At 34.9% G+C, this 25414-nt stretch overlaps 1 protein-coding gene across 18 annotated transcripts in view; it reads right to left on the bottom strand.

Moving 5' to 3' along the window:
• The window catches only part of ETV1 (ETS variant transcription factor 1), a 100197-nt gene continuing 75270 nt past the window's right edge, over window positions 488-25414 (bottom strand). For 16 of the 18 annotated variants that reach the window (XM_011515168.4, NM_001163148.2, XM_047419985.1 and 13 more), the window contains 5 exons: window positions 20498-20566; window positions 18891-18959; window positions 15689-15858; window positions 9997-10098; window positions 488-5346 (listed from right to left, as the gene is read on the bottom strand). In XM_011515168.4, coding sequence (XP_011513470.1) covers window positions 5125-5346; window positions 9997-10098; window positions 15689-15858; window positions 18891-18959; window positions 20498-20566 — 632 coding nt within the window. In that variant the 3' untranslated portion in view covers window positions 488-5124. Of the gene's footprint in view, window positions 5347-9996; window positions 10099-15688; window positions 15859-17051; window positions 17116-18890; window positions 18960-20497; window positions 20567-25414 lie in introns of all 18 variants that reach the window. The other 2 variants (NR_120445.1, NM_001163147.2) reach the window with 2 other exon arrangements.

Genomic DNA, 25414 nt, shown 5'->3' on the forward strand with positions numbered 1-25414 from the left:
TCAGAAAAGTAGCTAGGTCCAAGTTCCCCAAAAGGTAGGGTTCATGATTTGCCTGTGACCACGACATCTTGACACCAAGACATACTGGTTTTGCCATTAGCTTCAGTTTCTCACCAGACAAAACCAAGCAATTTGGAGGCAGTAACATAATTCACATATCTGTGCTGTCTGGCATGTGGGAGTCACTGAAATAATTTAGTTAGTTCCCTTCCCCAAATTTCTCCATGATACATTTATTGAAGGATTTATGTGAAACAAGATATTTACAGAGATTAGAACGTAGAACTCAAAAAGGATTTATCAGGTGTCCTGGTATCTAAATTATCTAAAAGAATAATATATGGCAAAGTAGTGCAAACACATTACTTGAGTGCTGTGGTCATAAACTATTAAAAATGACACGATGATTAGAAGACAGTCAAAAATTTAGATGACGTTTATCAGTTTTAGATGTGCTACCTTTCAGAGTGATCACGACAGTCCAATATTTTCAGTTTCTGGGCTTTTATTTTAGATTTAAATTTTGAGCATATTTAATTTGCTATAATCATGATTTTCATAGCATGTTTTCTCAAACCGTAAGTATAATTTTAATACAACCAAGTGAATTAAAAATTTTCTTCCCCATAGAAGCATAAATATAATTTTAGAATGAAAGTAACTAATACTGGAGTCTATATGCAAAAAAGACCCTACCTTACATATGAATCCATAAACAATAGCCACGGTATATACACTTGTAACTGAAAATTCTGAAATCATTAATATTTCTATAAAGATATCCACTTAGTCTAATCAAATTCTCCTCTTAAACTGTACTTTCCATAAACTGTTTTTTTTTTAAGTATGTCAAAGTGAGTCTCATGTATATAAAAAAAGAAGTCCTAAAAGTACTAGTTGAGCTCTGAATAAACTGGGTGAAATTTTCTAGTATCATGCCCAACTATTACCATCTTTTTGAAACTTGATTTTTCCAATTCTTAGTAGAATTGCTTAATATGTACATTTGCCTTCTTTATATTTTTTCCACCATCACTTTTACCCAATTTGTATTTTTTTAATAATTCTATTTCCTCTCTTCTCCATACCAAATCGCAAATGGAAAATAGCTTACTCACTTCTTATTTTTAAATTTTAGTTTTTGTTTTCTAGGATTCCAAGTAACAAACATCCAAATGACCTTCTCCTCTGTAATGTTTTCTCATTACAAGCTCTGAAAAGGCTGCATGATAGACAAAGTGGCTCATTTTAGAAATCCCTATCATCTGGCAAAATTCTGTAGCTTCTGGCAATATATTTCTTTCCTGGTTATATAAAGATAAGTTGACTCATTTTGCAATTGTTCTTTTGAGTAATAGACATATTTTACACATTGTTCTTACCTAATAAGTAATAATCACTAGCAAATGATAAGATCACATAGTAACCCATATTAACACCAAAAGAAATGTATTAAAAAATAAAATCTGGATTAGACCACTGATTTAACTGTTATTACTATTATTATCATACCTTCTGTTTTTCTGTTTCATGACTTAGTGTTTTCCTGGGGGCTGGGGAAGGATTTGAATAATCTAAAGGCTTGATGTGATTACCAGACATTTTAGTGGAATAGTTGAAATTTAATATAGAAAGTTTTCAAAATTATTTATGCAGAATAAGGGGAAAATATCTCAGTGGTAAATAAAAGCAAACTCTAGTACTTTCAAATCCTAGATCCCTCAGCAGAACTCCACTGTTCCTGAGTAAATCAATTAGAGTCTTTGCTACACAGTCTTCCTCCTCCGTGCGGTGTTCTGAATAACAGCCCTGCCCTCACCCCTTACATCCATGTCCTAATCCCTGGGACCTATGAATAATTATCTAGCCAAAGGGACTTGGCACACGTCATTAAGTTAAGGATCTTGAGATGGAGAGATTGTCCTGGATTATCTGAGCATCCCCTAAATGTAATCACAAGCATCCTTATAAGAGGCAGGAAGGAAATTTGACTATAGTAGAAGAGTATGTGACCATGGAAGCAGAGATTGAAGTGATGTAGCCAGGAGCCAAGGAATGTCAGCAGACTCTAGAAGTGAAAGCTGGAAGAATCTCCCCTGGAGCCTCCAGAAGGAACCAGACCTAAGGACATCTTGGTTTTAGTCTCTTAAGGCTTCTTTTGAACTTCTGCCTCCAGAACTATAAGATAAATTTGTGTAAATTACTGAAGTTGTGGTAATTGGTTACAGCATCTACGGGAAACTAGACCTCCAAGATCCGCCCATGATTTGAGAAAAATGTTCTGCACTGTCAGTCTTGTGGATTTTTATTCTGAAGCACTTTTCATGGACATAACAAGAAAAATTATTTTTACTTAGTTATTTGAGTATAAGTGTTTGTTGCAATTAATCTATTGGGTATTAACATGTCATCATCAAGAGACAGCAAACAGCAGTGAAGATAAAAGCTGAGAGAAGACATTACATCATTAACAAATGATTTCTATGTTTGAGTAGCCAATTCAATGAGAAATTCAAAACACAAGAATCTTGCAGAAATCAGCTGCCAGATTTATTAATCTACCTGAAAACAAAAACATAAAAACTCAACCAAAAAGTGGAATCAAAACAGAACTTAAAAAATTTTAGATACATTTTTCAAAAGAGTTTATAATGTAATATTTTCAACCCTTCTGTATTGGAAATACACTTAATGTTGGTCAATTATGTATTTAGTTCAGTGAGTCACTACGTTAAAACAGCAAAACATATAGTTTGTCCTTAAATATTATATAACTAATACCATTTCTGCCATTGTTCTCTTGTGATAACGTTAGCATGGCCCAATTCTTCCTCACTGACTGACTAAAACTAGACTATTAAAAAGAAGAAAAAGGAGAAAAGAGAAAAAGAAAAAAAAGGAACAAAAATGAATCCTCAATACAGTTTTCATTCAGAATATATTTTAAAGACTCACTTAAATTTTCTCCTTCAATTTCACCAAATCTCAATTATATATCTCAATTCCTTTTTCCAATAAAACTTTCACTGAATATTTTAACATCTGTTTTTATTCTAAGTGCTGTAGATGGCCACATAAGCATAGTGGGGAGAAAAGGTTCTGATTTTTAAGGCATAGTTTTCTTTTTTAGGCCCAAAATGGGCCAAAATAATACATGATGTATATGAACAACAATCATTGAAATCGCAGGTTACATACATATTTTGAAATTGGAGTACTTTTTGTAGGATTAAATGTGAAGAGTAGCAATTTTGGTGTTTGGGTTTCTTGATAACTGCTCCACTTAGAGAAATGAGCTGTGATCTGTGTAGTTTTGGAAAATGGGTAGCTGGGGGGATCATCTTTAAACAATCTTTTTCATGCTCATCACGAAATGCTTTTACAATAGGTTTATTTTGACTTTGTGTTTAGAATTTTTTTTTTTTTTTGCTTTTTGCTATAGACTCTTTAAAAAAGTTGTTCTTCTGGATATTATTGATAGATGGAACAAAATTCATGTCCCTTGCTTGAATCTTTTAGCGAGCTATTCAGAGATTCTATATCCCCATTTACTCATGGTTTTTTCAAGGTGAATGAAACAACATACCCTGCTTTCAATATTTTCTCCAAATGCAAAGCAAAAACAGAACAAAAAACTTTGAAACTTTAAATCTTCTTTCAAACAATCCAATCACATTTACAGAAGTGTCCAAAAAGAGATGATGGATAATATCAGTGCCAGCACTATGTCATACAGCAACTTCCTCATATTCTTTGACGGTTTGTAAATAATTTTCCATATCACCAAAAGTTACAAAAGGTTCCACAGTTTCCTTTAGCAAGCTGAAGCTTACTCTTCATTTGTCAATGTGCATAAAAGCTGCTTATAGCATAGCATGGCGTAAGCTATTTTTTAAGCAATAAATGGTTTGAGTCATCTATTTTGTCCTGAAATGCTATCTGTAGTTAACTGCACTGCTTATAAATGGTCATAGTAAATTCAGCATGAAAGAGAATATTACAGAAAAGACAGCAGCAGAAGCATTAGCATTATCTAATATTTATATATGTTATCAACATAACACAGCAGTAAAAGGTTTAAATGCATATCAATGGGTACCATGTCTAAAAATTACTATAGTACCTATTTAGTGTATTGGATATTTTTCTTAAAGAGTGTTTGCTGTAACTAGAACAGCATAATACATGATTTAGTACAGTTAATTCTTATTGATTAAATAATGTATTTATGTACTGAAGAAAGTGAAAAGGAGACAGATATTTTTTGCTTCATTTTGATTCCAGATTTAACATTTAAATGAAGATTCCAAAGGACCATGACATGTCATTATTTAACTGAAATGGGCTTCAAAATATTTAAAAGACGGTATGATTTGTATCTAAACAGCAAGGTGGCACCAGATACACGTAATGCTACTGGCCTATGACTCAGTTTGGCGCCAGAGTCCAAAATTGTGCCCCTCATTTACAGTCATGGTGATTATTCAACTTCAGAGAGAATTACCCATTTTATGGTTATCCTCTGCAAGTCATATATAAAGCAAAATAAAACAACAAACAGCAAATGCAATCGCTAAATACCTTTTTACAAGTGGTGCAAAAACAGTCATTTCTAACAATTAAACTGCCATTTACAGTAGATTGGGGTTTTTTTGTACACCTGCAGAGACTCATAAATGACAGGGGAAAATGCCCAAGGCAAATAGTCTCCAAGTGGATATTTACACAACGTGAAATTAACTGTACCATAGATACCCCGATAAAATAAACATTATCTTATGTTGTTATGAAATCAAACAGACATGATATAGTTTCATCATACTCAAAACTTGTAGGACCCCATCCCAAGCCTAAGTAAAAAGTAATCCCCAAATCCCTCTGCCCATTCACCCATTAGCTTCCTGTTACACAGAATAAATGTTTAGATTACTCCCACCCACCCTCAAATAAAGTGCACAGTCCATGGCAGACCATAGAATAATGCAACAGGAAAAGCCCCTTTTTGTGTATTATTATTTAAAAATAAAATACAAACAACAGAAATAAAACAAAGATTCAGCAATTCTCTGTATCTTGCAGAAAAAAGGAAAAGCGCAAAAACGCCCTGCTTGACTGTCACTTGTGTTAATACACGTAGCCTTCGTTGTAGGGGTGGGGGTTGCAGCAGCCCCCTTCCGGCATGTAGGCCATGCTCTCATCAAAGTGAGAAAGAGGCACTGTGTCCTCCTCGTTGATGTGACGTTCCATGTCTGTCTTCAGCAGTGGACGCTGATTATCTGGAAAGGCCATGGAGAAAAGGGCTTCTGGATCACACACAAACTTGTAGACATATCTCTCTCCAGCCACCTGATGATAACATGGAAGAGAAAAACCCATCCTCACCATCGCCAGATGGGGAAGGACAGGAAGGAAAAAGCCAAAAACGTGGTTTAATATACAGGAAAGGATGGGTAACTCTGGCCCAAAAAAGCAAACAACTAATAGCAGATACACATAAAAAAAAAAAAGTCTTTACTTTGTGGAATAAACTACAGTTCAGTCAAGGGAGATGCAAAATGTTGACCTTGAATAATAATTAATTAATTCCAGATATAGCTAGGAAGCACAGGAATTTGCTTGTCTTAATATAGAGGTAAACTTACATCGTTGTTTTGAAAAAAAGTCAATTATTTAATGCAGGCATTTCATATTGAAAGCTTTTTTTCTGCATTTTAAAAGGTAGTATCTACAAATCTGTACTTTTAAGGTACACTGTCCCTCTTAATATTACATATCTGAAATGGTAGAAAAACTAAATTCAAAATTTAAAAGAAAAATGTGCTTTATTCCCAATAAGACTAGACTAGTAATTCACTGATTCACAGAATAAATGGATTCTTTACTTTTTTTCTTTTTTGGCAGTGTGTGTTGAAAGAAGAAAGAAAGGAAAGAAATAAAGAAAGAAAGAAAAGAGAGAGAGAAAGAAAGAAAGGAGAGAGAAAGAAAAAGAAAAAGAAAGAAAGGAAAGAAAGAAAGAAAGAAAGAAAGAAAGAAAGAAAGAAAGAAAGAAAGGATACACAGCCTCATTTAAATGAAAGATGGATCAAAAGGACAGTATCCTGGGTACATCACTTTTAAAAATGAAGGCAAGATGCATTAGACAGAGTTAAGGATGTGTGTAAAGTGTCAAATTGAAGTAAGAGGTGTAAAAAAGTGAAAGGAATTTAAAATACACAATGCACAGGGAGGAAATGAGAAAAAGAAATGTGACAACTGCCTGGAATAAAGAAGTAGCATAATTTATAGGGTATGACATACCCCAAACTTAAATTCTGAAGAGTAATGCTTCCCTAGAAAATTATAAACAACTGAGTGAGATGAATACGCCTCTTGTTAATAGACAATGCTGAGATGCTCTCAAAACCCGGGGTGGGGGGATGGGTGGATGAATACAGTTCTTTCTATTAACTTTGATAGTCACTTTGTATGGGTGTGTGTAAAGGTATGAGATTTTAGAAAGCTGAAGGTGACACAACACCTCCATGTTCCTGTATATCAACAAGGCATTTGCTAGTTGATTTTTGATGTGGGGCAACAGTGTGTTCCTGGGTTATAAAGTATTGTTATATCTTTGAGGGAAAAGTAACAATTGTCAATGAATGCTGCTGCTCTGAATTCAAATTTAGAACATTTTTTGTTTCTTTTGCCCTGAATTTAAGTAAGAGGAACCACTTTAGAGAATTCAAATAATCTGAATGTACCTAGGTTTGAAAGAATGAACATTTAGTAGTTTTTATGAATTTGGACCTGTTTCTTAGACTACCTCTCAGTGGCCTTTGCTGTGAAATGGAGACAGGAATGGCGCCTCAGAAAGCCCATTGCAAGGTTGGGATGGAAGTCTCCAGCACAGAGCACTGTGCCAGAAACAGAGGAGTCTGGCATACATTTATTTACTTTAGTCCTTCATACAAAGAAAATTAAGATCTTAAAGGTGAAATGATGAAATGACCATAAACATAAAAATAGCACTATCAGGAACAAAGCTGAGATAGTAAATCCTAGTTTTCCTTTATTTTTTTCTTTGTTCAAAGTATTTGGAGAAAAAATAAAATAAAATAAATGGCCTGCATACCTCTGAGTGTTTTATAATGTGCTTTGTTTTGTTTGGGGCTGTGGAGGAAGATACATTTGCTTTAAGTACTGGACTTCCTTTGACGGGTTGCTACTGGCTATACTTAAAAATTATGTAATAAATGAATTAAAATGTGTAACATGCAATCAAGCTTATGCAATCTCTCAAGGACTCTGCCTTTCCTCACTGCTTCCTTCTGTATTGCTTTTGAATAAACATTTTTAGGGCTACTACTTCATTTGCTGGACTATGTTAAATGCTACTGAGTTTAGAACAAGGGATGATAACCAACCAAGGGGAATGATGTCTTCCATTATGAGTAACAGAAGTACTAACGTGCAAAATGCTGTACATTAAGTATAGCCAAAATGCAACACTGAGACAGACAGAAAAAACAGGAATTTTTCCAGGGAGATAAATCAAAAGTAAACAAGGAGATAGCTTTAGAGCTGTGCTTTCAATGGCTGGATATTCAAATTATGTTTTATCTCTTAAAATTTCAGAAGTAATATGGGGATACTGAAGGATAAATTAGAAATTATCAATTAAGTTAAAACAAAGGGTCTATAATTATATCATCCAGAATATAATCACCATTAACATATTGGTATATATTGTTCTAGGCATTTCCTAATTTTGAAATAGAAGTACACATAGGCATTGTCTGTAAGGTAAACATACACTGTTCCATTGTTTCTTACTTCTTCCGTATTACTAAAATTAATTACCAGTTTTCAATTTTTTTAACATGTTCAGATGTAAGTTATTTTTATTTTTCTCTAATCTTCTAATTTTCTATATTATATACACCACATATGCCCACAAAGTTTTAAGTTAGTGAACAAATATAGCCATATAAATATTTTCTCCTACATGTTAAAATATATAATTCAACATCATAGTTTTTGCTATTTAAAAAAGGACAGCATAGTTTTCCTCTGAATGACTATACTAGAATTTACTTGAACATCAGAATGGTACATATCCGAGAATGTGATTAGCTGGGTGCAGTGATGCAAACCTGTAGTTCCAGCTACTCAGGAGGCTGAGGCAGGAGGATTGCTGGAGCCCAGGAGTTCAGATATACTTTACATTGTGCCAGTTACAATGTAAAGTATCTCAAGTACATTATTTCATTTAATAATCACAGCAACTTTAATGAGGCAAGAATATCACCATTTACTAGGAAAATAATCTGTTCAAGAATGTAATCTGGTGAGAGGCTAGCATTCAAACCTAATTCCTGACTGCCTTATCTGTTACTGCTGTGCAATACTGCCCGGGGACACTGCTGAGCACCATCTGTGACAGCCCAGGCAATGTGCCCCCGCATTAGGAAGATGGTGGTGAAAAGAAAGGAATGGAATGTATTTGAAGGATCTTACTACAAAAAGGTAGGTGAGAGAAAGGGAGGAATTAGAAATGACCCCAGGGTTGAGATGAAAAAGACAGGAGGAGCAGGTAGTAAACTGTTATACATTTTGAAGGCATGATTGAGAAAACAGGAAGCAACTGAAAATCGAAGTCAGCCTTTTCTTTTAAGGATCATGGAAGTTCTAACGTCTGAGCCAGCAAATTCTAGGGCACTGAGATAATATGCCTCTTGTCAATAGACAATGTTCTAGGAAAGTCAACAGTGCTATTTTTCGCTGCTCTAATAAGCTTCATGTAGCAACTGGTCTAGTTTTTCTGGGTAAAACTATGGTGACATAAAAATGTGCCACAATCTATAACATGTAACTATGTTTACAAACCCTAAAATAAACAAATGATACAAAATAAAACTGTAACGTTCACAATAGGTAAATCATAAACTTGGTTCACAGTCAAAGCAATTAGATTTCTGTACACTTGCAAAGCTAAAGGGTGTAATAAAAACAAATATCCACGTTTTATCTTCATTCATTTATTTATTCCTTTCTTCAAAAATGTTGTATTTTATTTTAAGTGTAATTCACTTGTTTTTTCTCTACTCTTTTTTAAAAAGCTACTCTTGGCTGGGTGCATTGGCTCATGCTTGTAATCCTAGCCCCTTGGAGGCCAAGGCAGGCAGATCACCTGAGGTCAGGAGTTCAAGACCAGCCTGGCCAATATGGCGAAACGCCATCTCTTCTAAGAACACAAAAATTAGCTGGGTGTGGTGGTGCGCACCTGTAGTCCCAGCAACTTAGGAGGCTGAGGCAGGAGAACTGCTTGAACCTGGGGGACTGAGGTTGCAGTGAACCAAGATCACGCCACTGCACTCTACCCTAGGCGACAGAGCTAGAATCTGTCTCAAAACAAACAAACAAACAAAAAGCTACTTTCAAATATTATGGGAAGCTCATTTGAAATAAAATATATTGAACTTCCACAAACCAAATAAGATCAAATGTTCATTTTTAATGAATGGTTTAGGATGTCAAACTATCAGATGATAAAACTAGGCAAGATTTGAGGCAAGGAAGAAAATGTTTTCACAAATGAGAAAAAGAAATGTCTGTTTTAAGAATCAAAACAAGAAAAAAGTACAAATTTATTCTAAAGATTCTTTATTGCTATAAACAAAAGCATTCCAAAATTATATAATTGTAGACAATGTGCAATAAAAACTTCTGAAGACAGATGTGCTATTAATACTAAAACAATCTTTTTTAACCATGTGCAGCAAAGTAGGACCTTCCAGAAAGCCTATTATTCTGTATACAATATCACTACACATTTGTCTACAATGTCTAGGCATTTATACATAGAAAGGCTTGTAATACCAAAACCAAGAGCTAAGCATTTGTTAAAATGAGTGAAAAACTCGCTTCAGCAATGCAATGATATGTGGCGTTTAAAGTATGATGTTCAGATTAATGTGCAACATTTCAATGAATTTTAATGCTGTATTAGCTGCTCACCTTTTGCATAATTCCTTTCTCATAGTAATAGCGGAGTGAACGGCTAAGTTTATCATAGTTCATAGCTGGCCTGTTTTTCTGAATGCCCCAACGTCGGGCCACCTGCCGCGAAACAGAATTACATTGTAGTGTTAAGTATTAACTTATCAGCATATTTCATAAAAATTATTTAATTAATTACTTCCAAACCCACAAAAATGTCCAACTCAAGGATATAAGTAAAGTAGCAAGAGCTATCGTAATCTGGATTTCCTGTCTCCTGGTTTGCTTTTTTTTTTTTTTTTGAAACAGAGTCTTGCTCTGTCACCCAGGCTGGGAGTGCAGTGGCGCGAACTTGGCTCACTGCAACCTCCGCCTCCTGTGTTCAAGCAATTCTCCTGCCTCAGCCTTCTGAGTAGGTGGGATTACAGGTGGGCCCCACCACGCCCGGCTAATTTTTGTATTTTTAGTAGAGGTGGGGTTTCACCATGTTGGCCAGGCTGGTCTCGAACTCCTGACCTCAGGTGGTCCACCCACCTTGGCCTCCAAAAGTGTTGGGATTACAGGAGTAAGCCACTGCGCCTGGCCTGGTTTGCATTTTAAACCAGGCGTGCAGTGATCCTTCTAAAACACCACAATAGAATTATTTGTCACTATTGTTTTGAATACAAAATTAAATGGAAATAAGGAAATGTTCTTACAACAGGAATGAACAGGCTACAGTTCACCAAAATGAGGCACGTTTTTCATTCTGAGATATACTGTCTGTTTTATCCTTCTTGGTTTTTCAGACAAAAACTATAGATAAAGAGCAGCTTAGTGATCTCCTTGTAAAGGTGTTTTACTGAGGTTATGATAAGCCAAAGGAAAAAAGATACCCTGCTCAATACTATATGAAAGAGTGAACAAGTGACAATGTGTGTAGCAGAGGAAACAGTACACAAATTAATAAACCGAACTGCAAATACTTTTTATTGCCTAAAGCAGCAGCCGAATAAAACTGTGGGTAATACCAAACTGAAGAATTAAGCATTCATTTAGAGAACGGTAATTGGATGCTAAAAATAAGAAGGAAGTGGAAAAGGTCACCATGTATATGAGTCCACAAACAAAAATCTCTAAAGCAGAATGTCTACTCTGTTGTTTAATAAAAAAACTCAGAGCTTTTTATTATGTGGCTTTGGAGGAGCAATGTATCTAAGAGTTTTTCAATAGAGCTTTAAAAAAAATCCTCTCTCCTCAATGTATATATATCCCTACCTCATCACCACCCCAGGCTAGCCAAAGCAGTATACAGAATAGTGTAGCTTGCTTTTCCTACCCCAGCTAAAGTCACTCTCTCATTAATTTCCACTTTTTATTAGTCTGAGAAGAAACTGCAGCTGCCACGCAAACCTAGGCAACCCCAAGAGGACATTATCTAATAGGGCTAGGGAGCGCCTTCATTTCCATAAAATTCCAAGTTGTTGCTATGTCATATATACTAAAATAGATTGCTTTTCAAAGAGATCATTCTGTCTCTCTTTGCTTTATTAGTAATAACCTTTCTCCAGGTTTTTTTTTTCCTTTAGAAATACCGATCCTAGCTATTTTCCCTCTCAGTAATTTTTATTCTCTGAATGAAGAAATAAAGTACTTTAATGACATGCATCAGTATGTTTTTTAAGAGTAGAGAGATGCGATGTAACAGGGACAACATCATATATCCCAGCAGACAATCACAGTGGCAGGAACATCTCAATTTCCCAAAGATAAACTTCATTTTAATGTAAATCTTCTGAGCAATAGTGAATTGAAGCGGGGGTGGGGGCGCTGGGGGGAGGCAATAAGAAATGAAAGCATTTTCTAAAGAATATTTCATTCAAAAACCTAACTATGGACATCAGTGAACCTTTAATAGGCATAGCAGCCGAACTATATGCAAACCTGGAGGGGATGTGAAAATAAAGTATTAGTATCTCCTTAAACAATAATTTCTGAATCCTTATTCATTTATAAAGGATTATTTTCTAGAAACTCACCAGGATGCACCTAGAAAATAAAATACTCACATACTCACAACAACTTTAATACAATGTTGTGGAGGTCTCTGGAGAGAGAAATATGATTTTTAAAAATACCACAGAGTTTGATACTTATCATGCCAGTTCATTCTCAGCATCATGGGTATTAGTGGACATTTAAAAACAATAAAATGTAGTCTTAGAGTTGTTTTAGTGTCATATTCCTCATAAAGTTGAGGTAAATGGGAGAGAGCAATATGCTTAAGAGATGCAGACAAGACAAAAGTTATAAATTAACAGCGTAAATAATTCCAGGCCAGGTAGGCCAACCACCAACTAAGAAAGTTCATTCAGCCTTCACATACGACCGACCAATCGCCACCATATCCAACACCACTCAAAGTCAAGGCATAGTTTCCAATATGGAGTGGGAAAAATGGTGGGAAAACTTCCAGTGACTTCCTTATATACGCCTTCAAATGAAAACTTGAGTTGTTAGTGAAGAGAGTAAAAAGATGATAGCACTATGGCATTCACCCTTATTGTCAAATAAATTAAATAAGATAATGTAATAGTTCAAGCATTAATCAACTTATTTTAAAATATCACGCTTGAATATGTAACACTGAACCTGATAACAACAATCAGGGCCTGGCTATCAGACTTCCTGGTAACTCTTCCAGCTCAACAAGCTTCAATTTCATCAAAAGACTTTTATACTGAGTCTTACAGACGACTTTCTATGTTAATAATTGTTTCCCGGCCGGGCACAGTGGCTCACACCTGTAATCCTAGCACTCTGGGAGGCTGAGGTGGGCAGATCACCTGAGGTCAGGAGTTCAAGACCACCCTGGCCAACATAGTGAAACCCCGTCCCTACTAAAAATACAAAAATTAGCTGGGTGTGGGGGTGCACACCTGAAGTCCCAGCTACTGGGGAGGCTGAGGCAGGAGAATCACTTGAACCCGGGAGGCAGAGATTGCAGTGAGCCAAGGTCGCACCACTGCACTCCAGCCTGGGTGACAGAGTGAGATTCCATCTCAAAAAAAAAAAAAAAAAAAAATTGTTTCCTGGAACAATTCCCTAGGAGACATGACTAATTCAAAAATAGTATTTCATTATCTCAAATATCTAAGAAAAAGACATGTTAAAGATTATGCGTTTTCTAAAGTTACCCTAAACACACTGAGCAGATAATCTGTGCAGGTCTGGAGTCTCACTCAATATCATTTTAAAATGCAAGATGAAATATAAAGAAATGGAACCCATCAGTAATTCCAATAAGATGGCTTCAGAGACATCTTTCACGGACTGTGCTGACACAGGCACCCAATGAGCTGCTAGGCAGTAGAGGGAACAGGGTGACCACAGGTCACAAAGACAAGAAATTTCACAAACCCTTTCCAAAGAAGAAATTTAAACAAGACCCTACAGTCATTGCCTGATGGAAGTAATTGCAACAGTCAGCAATGCAGCAATCAGATATGGGATGTTTCATTTTGAACAAAAGCCTTAGGAGACATTCAGTGCTTATTGCACAATTCCCATTGAGTTGGTTATTATTTGGAAACGCTCTACTGACTCTGAATTATCCAGCCTCTTTTTAACTTTATGAGGCTGCTACAGAAGAGTTGTCTAAATGTCAGTCTGTTGTATGGAACAGATGTAATTCTACTTCTTCCCTCCATTTAAAAATCACAGTAACTCAGAATTTGATGAAACTTAATGGTCATCTAGTCAAATCTCCTACTTACTCAAATCTGAACATCATAAAAGTCAACAGTTGCTATATAAAAAGCTTAATCATTTGCAAAAGAATTTTTCTTCTTCTGAGTGGATCAAGAAATACTGGCATAATTCAGTAATGTTCCCTATCTTAACAAATATATGGCAGGAACAACAACAAAAACCTCTGCTCAGTTCATTTTAATCACAGGTGAAGGGAAATAACTGTTTAACTGATACAAATCCCTGTAGAAAGTGCTCAGTTCCAGCATGAACCAACTCTTGCAGTGATTATTAACATCTTCCATGAGGTGAAGAGCACACACTCCCATCATGCGAAAGGGCTTTCAAATTACTTTGTTAAATGCTTCTAGTCTCAATTTGTTAGTGCTTAACATTTTTGTGGTTCTTTCACTTACATCATGTGAGAGTATCTATGAAAAAACTAATCTTCTTTGACAGCTAAGTTAATTTTAAACACACTACAGCATTCAAACACCCAAACGTCATCCTAGATAATGAGAATTTTCAAATACTGACATTGAGTCTTCTGTGTGTGCGTGCTTGATGTGGGGCAAGGGAGATACTGCAAAACTAACCCTCTAGTGTTACTAAAGTATTGATATAAACTGAAGGAGACTTGACTGTTCTAACCAGTGCCTTTTATTTCATACTTTCAGTACATTCTCGAGTCAGATAATCTCTTAAATTTCAAGAAGTTATGTAAACTTATCTTCTGGGCATCAAATTAGGGCATATTATCTGATTATAGTTGAATACGTGGTTTAATAAAGACAGAAAATTCAAGATGATGGACCCAGTAGTCAAGGGTGTGGATGTTCAGTGTATATGAAAATCACTTTGGGTTCAAACATTTTTTAAACTTACTGAATTTTTCAATATTACTGAGGTGTTTAGATTCAATACCTAATATAATCAGTTAGAGGTATGGTAGCTAAAAATCTTCCATTGCTTTTTTGGCTGATATAAACTAAAGTCAATTTTAATAGTAGCAGAGAAAGTATCTTTAGTAATGAAGACACAACAATTTGATATTAACTTCACCTTTCCATCAGCAGTCCAAAATGCTATTGATGAGTTATGCTACAGGAACAATAGTAGCCTTAAGCCTAAAGCTAGTTCTGGGAAGAATAAAAACTGAACTGAGAAATTCTTCATGGAAATACTCCATTTGTATGTGGGGAGTGGGAAGGAGGGGACAATTGAAGTTAGTTGAAGGTGTCCTCCATTTCTCTGTACAGTATTATCTCTGTCCAGGCTCTTCTTATTTTAGTAATTTTTTATGTGCTATGGCAACATTTTAAACTTCATCCCAACCTTCCAATGGAGTATGCCAGTCCAGCTGACTTGGAACAAGTGTCACGGACAAAGGAAAATGTTTCTACCAGGCCTGTGTCTTGTAAGAGACACTTAAGGGCTGAGAATTTTCCACTGTTGCCCTTGCATCCCTTTATCCGCCACAGCTGTTTTTCCCCAATCTTCTTTTGAACATAACTTTGGCCTCTAAATGCTCCTCTCCAACCCTCATGACAAAATCCAAGTTGTCCAAATAATGATTGCTAATTTGAAAGAATAATTCACCCATCCCCCAACCAGTTGACTTTTGCAGACATCGTTCCTCTCTCCTAAGGACCATAAAACCTCCCTCCTGCCTCTTTTCTCTAATTCAGATGCTCCTTTAGAAACCCTGAAGCCAGACATTCTTAAATAAAGGTGCAAAGCATGCTCTGGTTAATTTTCTCCAACATCAATTTTGTAGGATTGTATACAACCGGAAGGAACACGCAATACATTGGTGATTTTAAAGGTAGACATGTTTTATCTTTGCATGCTTTTTAATTCAGAAAGTTTCCCTAAAGTCTTGAAATGATTAAGAATACATTTTTGGTATATTAATCAAATGTGTCAGTTTCTTTATGTTATAACATGTCTGAGTGTCCTAATTAAAATCTATTAAACTAACCTCTTCAGGCTCAATCAGTTTAAATTCCATGCCTCGACCAGTCCAGGCAATAAAATGAGAATTTGAAGGGTCATCCAGAAGAGCTACCAAAAACTGCCAGAGCTGAAGTGATCCTCGCCGTTGGTATGTGGGTCCTTCCCGATACATTCCTGGCTCTTGTTTGATGTCTCCTAAATTAAAACATTTTTAAGTTTCTATTATTAGCAATACTATGCTATCTTACATAAAATGTACATTAAATCAATCACTAATATGGTTAAACCACAATCAACCACTTTATGGGCATTTATGAAATATATTATTACCATTAAAGAGGAATTTAAAATAGTTAAATGGTTGAATATAAATGAGCAAGCTGTACGAACTTACAGATAACTATATATAACACAGGTGCAGAATAAATCCTGTGTCAATATGAATGACACACATCATTTACTTACAAAAATATTGTGGAACTATCTTTTTTTTTAAATTGATTTCTTTAAAAACCATCGTATCTAATCAGACTTCTTTGCTTTTATTGTTAATGCTATTACCCACTGCTCTAGGCAACACTGAAGAGGGAATAATCAATCTTAAGCTCTGGGCATTTGATTCATACAAATTAAATTCTGCAAACTATAATTTATAAATATCTTATTGACCTGCTCATGAAAAACTATTGAAAATTTTAATGCAAATATTTCAAAGCAAATTTAATAGTATCCTAAACTGAGTTAAGTAATCTTCACTTTATATAAATAAGGAAAATCTTGTGGGTAATTCAGGGCATACTGCATTATCGTAGTACTACCCTTCCTTCACCGCATCATATACCTTCCTATTAAAGCTACTACTTTTTCAACTGGTAACAAAAATTCTCTCTCATTTTTCTTTATCTCTTGCTTGTACTTCACTCACTTGAATTTAACTTGCTATTGTTTTTTCTAAAAGTCCAATTTAAAAATGCATGCACGAGAGATTTCTGTAAGTATGTATTTTTAAGCACAAAAAGTTTGTGTTATATTTATTTGATATTCATATCTAGTGTAAAAATCTGTTAAATAGAGCACAGCAATAAAGGTGTTCATGTTGCAATGCTTCTGGTATAAATCTGGTCAGTTATATTAATTTTACAAAAAAAAATACAAAGTTTCATGACTTCTGATTATTTACTTCCATCTCCAGCCACATGTCTCAAAAATAGGTGGAACTGCTCACATTGGGGATTGAGTGTCTAGGGCCCTGCAAGTATGTCATTGTTAGTGCATAAATTGCTCTTCTCCGCTAAAGAAACAATCCAGACAAAATATATCTAAGCCTATGTAGTCATACTAAGTGTGCATTATAAAATAGACCAAATTGCACACTTTCTAAAACTTACCTATGGTCAGTAGAGAGACATATACCTCTTAAAATAATTACAGAAAGGGCAACATTTGAAAAACCTAAACCAAAATATAAAATGTGTGAGTCAATAGCTGCTAAAATCATTATGTTGTTTTGGTCTTAACATGATAATATAGAAGTGTATCTTCATATCGATTTCAATGACAGTTTTATTTATCTCAGTTTTTCCTTCTGAGATTTACAATGTTTTTTTTATGGGAGTAACTGAGTAATTATGCAGATAGAGTGAAACACTGTTACATTTTATAGTCTCTATATTGCTTCTGCCTATAAATGTGACTGATCACACTGACCATGTACAGTGAAAAAATAACCCCCTCATTTTTCTTTCTTCTTGTTCTACATTACTTATAAAATACAAGGCAAATACTATCTTCCAAAAAATGTTTTATTAGTGTAAAATTGAAGAGTATTTAAAAGTCGAAGGGAATAAATAATCAAGGCAGCTTGTTCCCTAAATATTAGTGTGACTTTGGCCTGTCAGATTATATTGTAATTCTGTCCATAATTTTGAGATATTTTTCTTTCTTATATGCCCTTACTAATTTTCAAGATCTCTGCAAATATGAAGCTCACCAAACACGAAAGAAACTAATGAAGGTCATTCCAAGAGTAAGAGGCTTTATATACTTTGTCTAAGAGAAAATGCTATATTTTAAGAATGCTGATGCTCTGCTAATGTTGCTAAATAGTACGGCTCACCCCTCTGAAATGCAAAGCTTAAAGCTAACATCTGTTGTAGAATAAAACCAAAAATGTGATTCCTATAATTTTTTTTTTGACCTTGAATGAATTTAGAAATCTAAAGGAGGATAAAGAAGCAGATCTTCCCTAGACTTACCAGCCCTTCTGAGAAGGGTAAGGGTAGCACAAAGCTCGGGAACATGGGGTAGTCTCCAAGCAACTAATTAGAAATTGAAAAGCAATCTGAGCATGTACATTGCTGTTTAAATAATGACAATTTAAAACTTCAGAGAGCACCCAAGTCATTATAGCCATGACCCCCAAAGTTTGTGCAATCAGTGAATCACAGGGCCCCTGCTGGTTTCCTGTCAAACGATCAAAGCAGGAAATATGAAAACCACTCTGAAGAACCACTAAATCAATTAACTGTTTACTTTTTACCCAAGCTTCCTCAAGATGCCAACTTTTGTCACCTTTGTCAAAAAAAAAATTCAATTTAACTTGACACCCTTTTCTAACATCTGAGACCTCTGCATTGCAATAGCAAGTGATATTAAAAAGGTAATGCTTTCCTAACTCCCTTTTAAGCAATTACAAAGTCATGCTACATTAGTAACATACATCTTCCCCAGTTAAAAAAAAAAAAAAAAAGGGACTAACAATCACTAACTAAATGGGCAGTTATGTTGTTCCTGTGTTCCATAATGCATCTTTCCATGAACAATGAAAGAAGAGAGGCCGCGTTAGTCATCGGTCCATCCACAGCAGCACGTTTTCTGCTCTGCTTTGTTAATTACAGGATCAGCTTTCAATAAATCTCGAATAACAAGCTGCATGTGCTCAGCAGGGCAATGGAAAGCCCCCTCTTACGCTACACAAAGCTCAGCAAGAATGATGCTCTTTGTCTATTTCTCCAAAAATGAACTCCCTCCTAACACAAAAGAAAAGGTTTCCTACTGGGGCAAGGAAGAGATAAATTGTAATAGGTCAACGTTGGCTAAAATTAAGTGCATGATGAATTATGTGCATAGGAATCTTTAAGTAGGGATGTCCACTGTTTTCAGAAGAAGCGAAGGTAATCACTCCATCTTTAAAAAAATCAGAACTTGAGGCAAAGTGTAAAACCTACCATCGAATTTTTCTGGGACAACACAGGTGTCATCATAAAACTGCCTGGGGCCCTTTTCAAACATACAGCCTGTGGATGAAAAAGGAATACATTTATTCATGATAGAAATGAAGCTCACAAACACTTAAAATATAACCATTTAACATAAAAATTGTGATAGAAAATGACTCTGCCACCACCTTTCAGTTCCTTGAGCCCTGGACACATTATTTAACCTCTGTGCCTCAGTTTCCTCATCTATTAAATGGGATGACAGTAACACCACTTATCATGTTATAGGGTTGCTGTAGTTTAGAGTGATGCCTAGTACACAGTGAAATATAAAAGTTAGTTATTTACATTGTTAACTCAAGCCAGAGCTCACCTAAACATTGGCAAGGATTTATAACGTATCGTCTCCTTTTTTAGATTCATCTAAATTTTATTGTTCAATGAAAAAGTGAGAAAGCAAGGTGAATTACTGGTATTCACATTATATTATTAGTCTGATGCTCTGAGACAGATTTATTTTATCCTCTTACTTTCTTGTAAAAATATTTAGATGGGTTAACCTTCCTGTACTCAATTAGCAAGATAAGAGGAAAAAAAAAGTTTCCCTTTTTTTTTTTTTTTTTTTGCTGTAAGGTAAGTCCACAGAAAAAAATGCAAAATAAATCAACAGCTTTTCATAATAATGTCCTCTCTCAAATATCCTTCACTGTGAACTTTCGTTGTTGCTATCTGTGATTACCAGGAATAAATTTCATAGAGTTTACTTTTATTTCTCAAATGTATTGGTCTTTATGGTGGGTATATAATACTAACAACAGAAGCAACAATAATTACATTGCATTTGTGCAAAACTTTTAATTTCAAATATTTTACATTTACCATCTCATACTACCCTTTAAAATTCTACTAATATCATTTACACAAAATAACCAATATTAGACCTAGCCTAAAAGAATGCATCCAAGTCAATCCTATTAAAGAGATGTAGAGTGTTTAGGTTAGGAACCATGCACATATTTCAGAAATCCTTTATTGAGGATTATATCCAGACGAAATCATTTTTACCATTACTTTTTAGGTATCAAAGTCCTTTACAGGCAAAGCTTTCCTACCACGGTTACCACAAGCCTGTCTATGAGAAAACTCTTTCTCTAGGCCTCCTATGTGAAATCTCATTCATATAAATTATTTGTCCAAAAATATAAAATCCAGAACATTTAAAGGTGAAAACCTTTAAATCGATGGCATTTTACTCCAAAACTATGACTAGGTCTGTAAAAGCAAAACCAAATATTCCTCAAAGATACATTTCAGTAGTAGTAAAGTGGGCTAATCTATAAAGCATATGTTCTATTTTAAAAGGATGTGGTTGTTGGCAAAAAAGAACACAGAAATCCACTTTTCAGTTGTTTCTACGCATATGACTCATGTTAACAACAAGATACCACTACTTGAAACATCTTCTTTTTACTTTGGAGATAGTCTTAAAACAATTGCTTAGGGAACATAAATGATTTTTCCCAAATAATATAATGATTAATTAAATGACGTCATATTTGGGATGTCTGATTATTCTGAACGGTATTTACACGGAATTTCAGTGGTGGACAACTTAACTTCTGTTCTGCTGGGATGAGCCAGGAAGCCTTCTTGCCTCATATAAATGGAGTGGCAGCTAGGCACTTCTGAAAGAGGAAACAATATTGGTCAAAAAGAGTCTGGAGCTGAAACGCTGCGGTTATCAATGGACAGGGTGCAGACAGAGAAGATACAGAAACGGACACAGGTTCCAATGTGGGGAACATGTCAACATATAATCAACATTTCAGGCAGGGCCCACACATGAAATGAAAGAATGAAGAGTATATATCTTGGTGAATGCTGATTCTCTTGAATAGGAAGGTGAATTCAAAGTTTTACCCAAATAAACCTTGCTAAAAGTCAGCTCAAACAGCAACCCACATGAATGAGATGGTGTCCTTGAAACAGGGTCACAAGTTTTAAATATGCATCAGGACATTTAGCAAATAAATTTGTATAATCCCATAGCATTCTATGAATATAGCAACATTGGAAATATTTAGAAGCTTTCAAGTTGAAAATACTGTAAAATGTATTATCAAAAGTTTTATTATGCTATTATACTATGCCTTCTTCATATGAAGTATTATGAAGCATATAATTCTGACCATATAAAAGACAGAGTTAACACTGTTTCCTGATATCTGCATTTATAATAGGGTTGCAGTATAGTTAATCTTTTGGGTTACCAAATAGTTAGCAATCCATTTTAGCCCAACTTCTTAACCAATGGTACTTCAAATTAATTTTTAATGCTATTTTGATTTATTCCCAGACGTAAGGTCCCTTAAAGCAGCTGGGACTGGAAGGGACAGTGTTAATAACTCTGCCATCAGCTCAGCAGCTGCTTTGAGGCAAGCATTTTGTTGAACTAATGTTGACACCCTGCCACAAAATACTTTTATTGACTGCTGCACACCTGGATTGCGGCTATAAAAACAGCTGGCTGACTCTGGAGGCAGCCAGAGGAAAACAGATAGGCTAAACTCTATTACATATAAGTGTGACTAAATGCAGTCTTTCCTTCCCAGAGTGGGAGAAAAGGAGGGAGAAAGGAAGTGCAAACATTTCTGAGAAATTCACTATTTAATGTCAAAGAACACCTTATAAAAGTGTTTTAACATATGACAAAATTAGCATAACCCTGGAAAACTAGATATTTGACATCAAATTTGAGATCTGATGGATAATTTCACTAATACCATCTCTATTCAAATGGCTGATTTGTTTATTGCTATATTTACTTTATAACATTCTTAATAAATTCTAATCTATGATATTTAAGATATACTGATTTAAAATTCATAATAAATTAATAACATATAATAAGGTTAATGCCAGAATCTCCATTACACTTCCAAAGGCCCAACTTGTGAACTCAAAAAAGCAATGGATGGCAATTTAGAAATATATGGAATACGACTGTGTTTTTGCCAATTGCTGTTACTATTTATACTCTAGTGTAAATAAAATTAACATCTAGCTCTTAAAATGGATACACTTGGCTAGCATTGTTTAAATCTGGTCTATACTTAAAATTGGTGTCCTTTATACAGTCCAGAGAAGCCTGAAAAAATATGGCTAAGGGGAGATTATCCCCATAAAGTAAGTAAAGTCATGTTATCCTTAAGTGATATCAGTTAATTTATGACTATCAGAGTGGGTCAGACTCTAATCAAATTGTAGAAACATTTCCAAAGTGATTATTCAATCAAATGACTAACATGGTTAATTAGGAGCCATAAACATTGCTCTGAAGTTCATCAAAGTAATGACTTGCCCAGAAAAATTACTGCTAATTAAATTGCCTGCTGCTTTCATTTCTACCTTATCTAATAAAAAATCCAACCAATGAAGTTTGGCATTACATTTTAACTTTTGTTAAATGCTTGACTATGATCCAAACTAGCTAAGCGGCGACTTCAAAGGCAAATGTTTTGTGGCAGAGGAAGGAGGCATTGCATATGCATTCAGTTCTGTTTCTTCACGAATAAAATGTACAAAGTTCAACAACCGTAACAAGCTGTAGTTTAACTCATGCAAAAATATTAAGATGACAGCATATTCACACTGTCCTATTATGCATCCACAGATTATAGTTTAAGGATCATTAGTACAAGTACAGCACAATGGTTATAAACAGGCACCTTGTCATCTGATAGAACTGATTTTGAATCTCAGTTCTGACATTGCATGGGAGTATGACATTTTGTTGTTATTTAACATCTCTAACTCCCAACTTCCTCATCTGTAAAGTGGGAATAATAATAATAATGACATCCTTAAAAGGGTTGTTGGGAGGACCACGTGGAGTAAGTTATGTGCAACATTTCGCACAGTATCTGCACACTGTAAGAATTCACCATATGGGACTTATTATTAATAACACTATTTTTAAGTGATCCTCACAAGTATTTAAACTGAGTACTTTAACCACAGTACTTAAAACTAAAAATAATTATATATCTAAATAAGTTACATTTGTTATCTTACTCTGCTGTTCTTAAATTATATGAGATGACTGATTTGTTGATTATTAGTGTATCTATTTTGGAATATTTTTCACAAATCTATCTATTAATCTATGATATCTAAAATACAATAAAATTCATTATAAACTTATAAGGTTTAAGCCAGACTCTCCAGTAGATGCTTTAACTATTTGGGGGTACCTCTTTTTTTTTTTTTTTTTTTTTTTTGAGACAGAGTCTCGCTCTGTCGCCCAGGCTGGAGTGCAGTGCCGTGATCTCAGCTCACTGCAAGCTCCGCCTCCCGGCTCAGGCCATTCTCCTGCCTCAGCCTCCTGAGTAGCTGGGACTACAGGCTCCCGCCAGCATGCCTGGCTAATTTTTTGTATTTTTAGTAGAGACGGGGTTTCACCATGTTGACCAGGCTGGTCTCGAACTCCTGACCTCAAGTAATCCACCCGCCTCGGCCTCCCAAAGTGCTGGGATTACAGGCATGAGTCACCGCGCCCGGCCGGGGGTACCTCTTTTGAGCTTCTTTTTACAGTATTACCCCCTCATGTTAGCTCCTAAAGCGCTCTGGTTTTAAAAGTTTTAAATTAAATCTAAAAATTAAATTATGTAAATTTAATTTAGGACAAAGAATTTTATTTGTTTCAAAACTTGTGGATCAAAATGCTCTATGACATATTAGTACTGGCCAAATCAGCTTACAGAAATTAAACTGCCTATAATTTGTTACAGATGAGTTCATGGTGATGAAAGCTGATCTAATATGCTGTAAAAATTCAAAGCAACAAAGCCCTGTTGTCATTTTAATGCACTAATCAATGTAGCGGAAGTTAAGAAGAATAATAAACTAACACCCCAAACTATCTAATTTGATTAGTTTTCACGTTTAGTAACATCAGTAAAGTTCTCTTCAAATTAAAATACGCAGACAAGAAACTAAAAAAAAAAAAAAAAAAAGTTACCTTCTTCTCTGTCTCTTGATTTGCATTTTCAAGCTATGCTGGGAAACATAATATTGATTTGGGAAGCTTTACCAAAGGTTTGACCACAAAGTGCAGTATTGAATTTGCACATTTAAAATTGCTAGGCACTCTCTGATTTGCATATTTGCTGCCTCTATAGCAGAATGGAGGCTCTCCTTTAGGGCAGAGTTTGCTTAAAATTTCAAGGATCTACATCAGGCCACGGCAAAGAGAAAAGATTTGCCACAGTTGCCTGAAATATCTGTACAGAGCTGGCTGAAATTGCTCTGCTATCAAATAGTGTGTAAATCTGGAATTATAACATATTATAACCTCTAAATAAGGGAGAAAAACAAGTCTTTTCCATTTGATGCTTTTGGTTAAATTCTTCTACCAATAACGACTGTATAACTTAATTAAGCATTTGAATCTCTTAGAGGAAATGAGAAATCTCAGTAAAATATAAATATGTTTGATGTTGTATTTTAATGTGGTTTTGCTTTCCTATAAGTATATAGTGCAAAGCTGGATTGATTATACACTTGACTAACTCCTTGTGGAGTTGATATGACAAAATCAAGTGCACATAAACTTGTCTATTGTATATTGATGATTTCTAAAACTTGGTGCATAAAATATCCAGAGCCAAAATGTGTATGTAAACACATATCTGAAATTATCATATACTCAGTAAAAAATGTGTGTATCAATGCATACCTAGGAGTTTCAACTAGTTTTTCAAAAACATTTGTCTATTATGTAAAAAATACTGAGTTGTATTAAGAATTAATATCACCAATCTCATTCAAGAAAGATGAGCATAGTGACAGATCTTGCCAACATTTTATCTCTTTTAAACTTAGTACTTCACTAGATTTTTTGTTTGCTTACTTCTTCTCATTTGCTGGTAAGCTCATAGTTTATGTTTAAAATCCAAAGGTTTACAAGGATGCATAGATTACCTGAGTTTTATGCAGATGTGTTTAAATGCAAAGCCATCACGTATATGCCATACTTTTAGCCTGCTTTTCCAATTGTCACATGTCAAATTGAGTGCACTCAATTGAGAAAACTTATTTCATAAAGTTTCCTAGAATGAATGATAATGGAAATAATTTTTTTTTTTTTACTTTTACCATATGACCACTCTATTGCAGAACAAGTCTAAAAGTAATTATCTTCCAAAATAAGGACATATATATCTGAATTCATGTGAGAATGATAGCAAAAAAGTCAAGTTTTATAAGACCTATTTGCTGTTCATTAGGAAGCTCAATGTGAATATAACATCTTAGTTACTAAACTTGATGTGAATGTAACATCTTAGTTACTGAACTGGATGTGAATGTAACATCTTAGTTACTGAACTGGATGCGAATGTAACATCTTAGTTACTGAACTTCACATGAATGTAACATCTTAGTTACTGAACCTCATGTGAAGAAGGCAGCAAAGCTGGAGAAATCCTGACAAGGGAGTGATGAATTTAGTATTACCTCACTCACACTTAGAT

Source organism: Homo sapiens, chromosome 7, assembly GCF_000001405.40.
Source record: "Homo sapiens chromosome 7, GRCh38.p14 Primary Assembly".
NCBI lineage: Eukaryota > Metazoa > Chordata > Mammalia > Primates > Hominidae > Homo > Homo sapiens.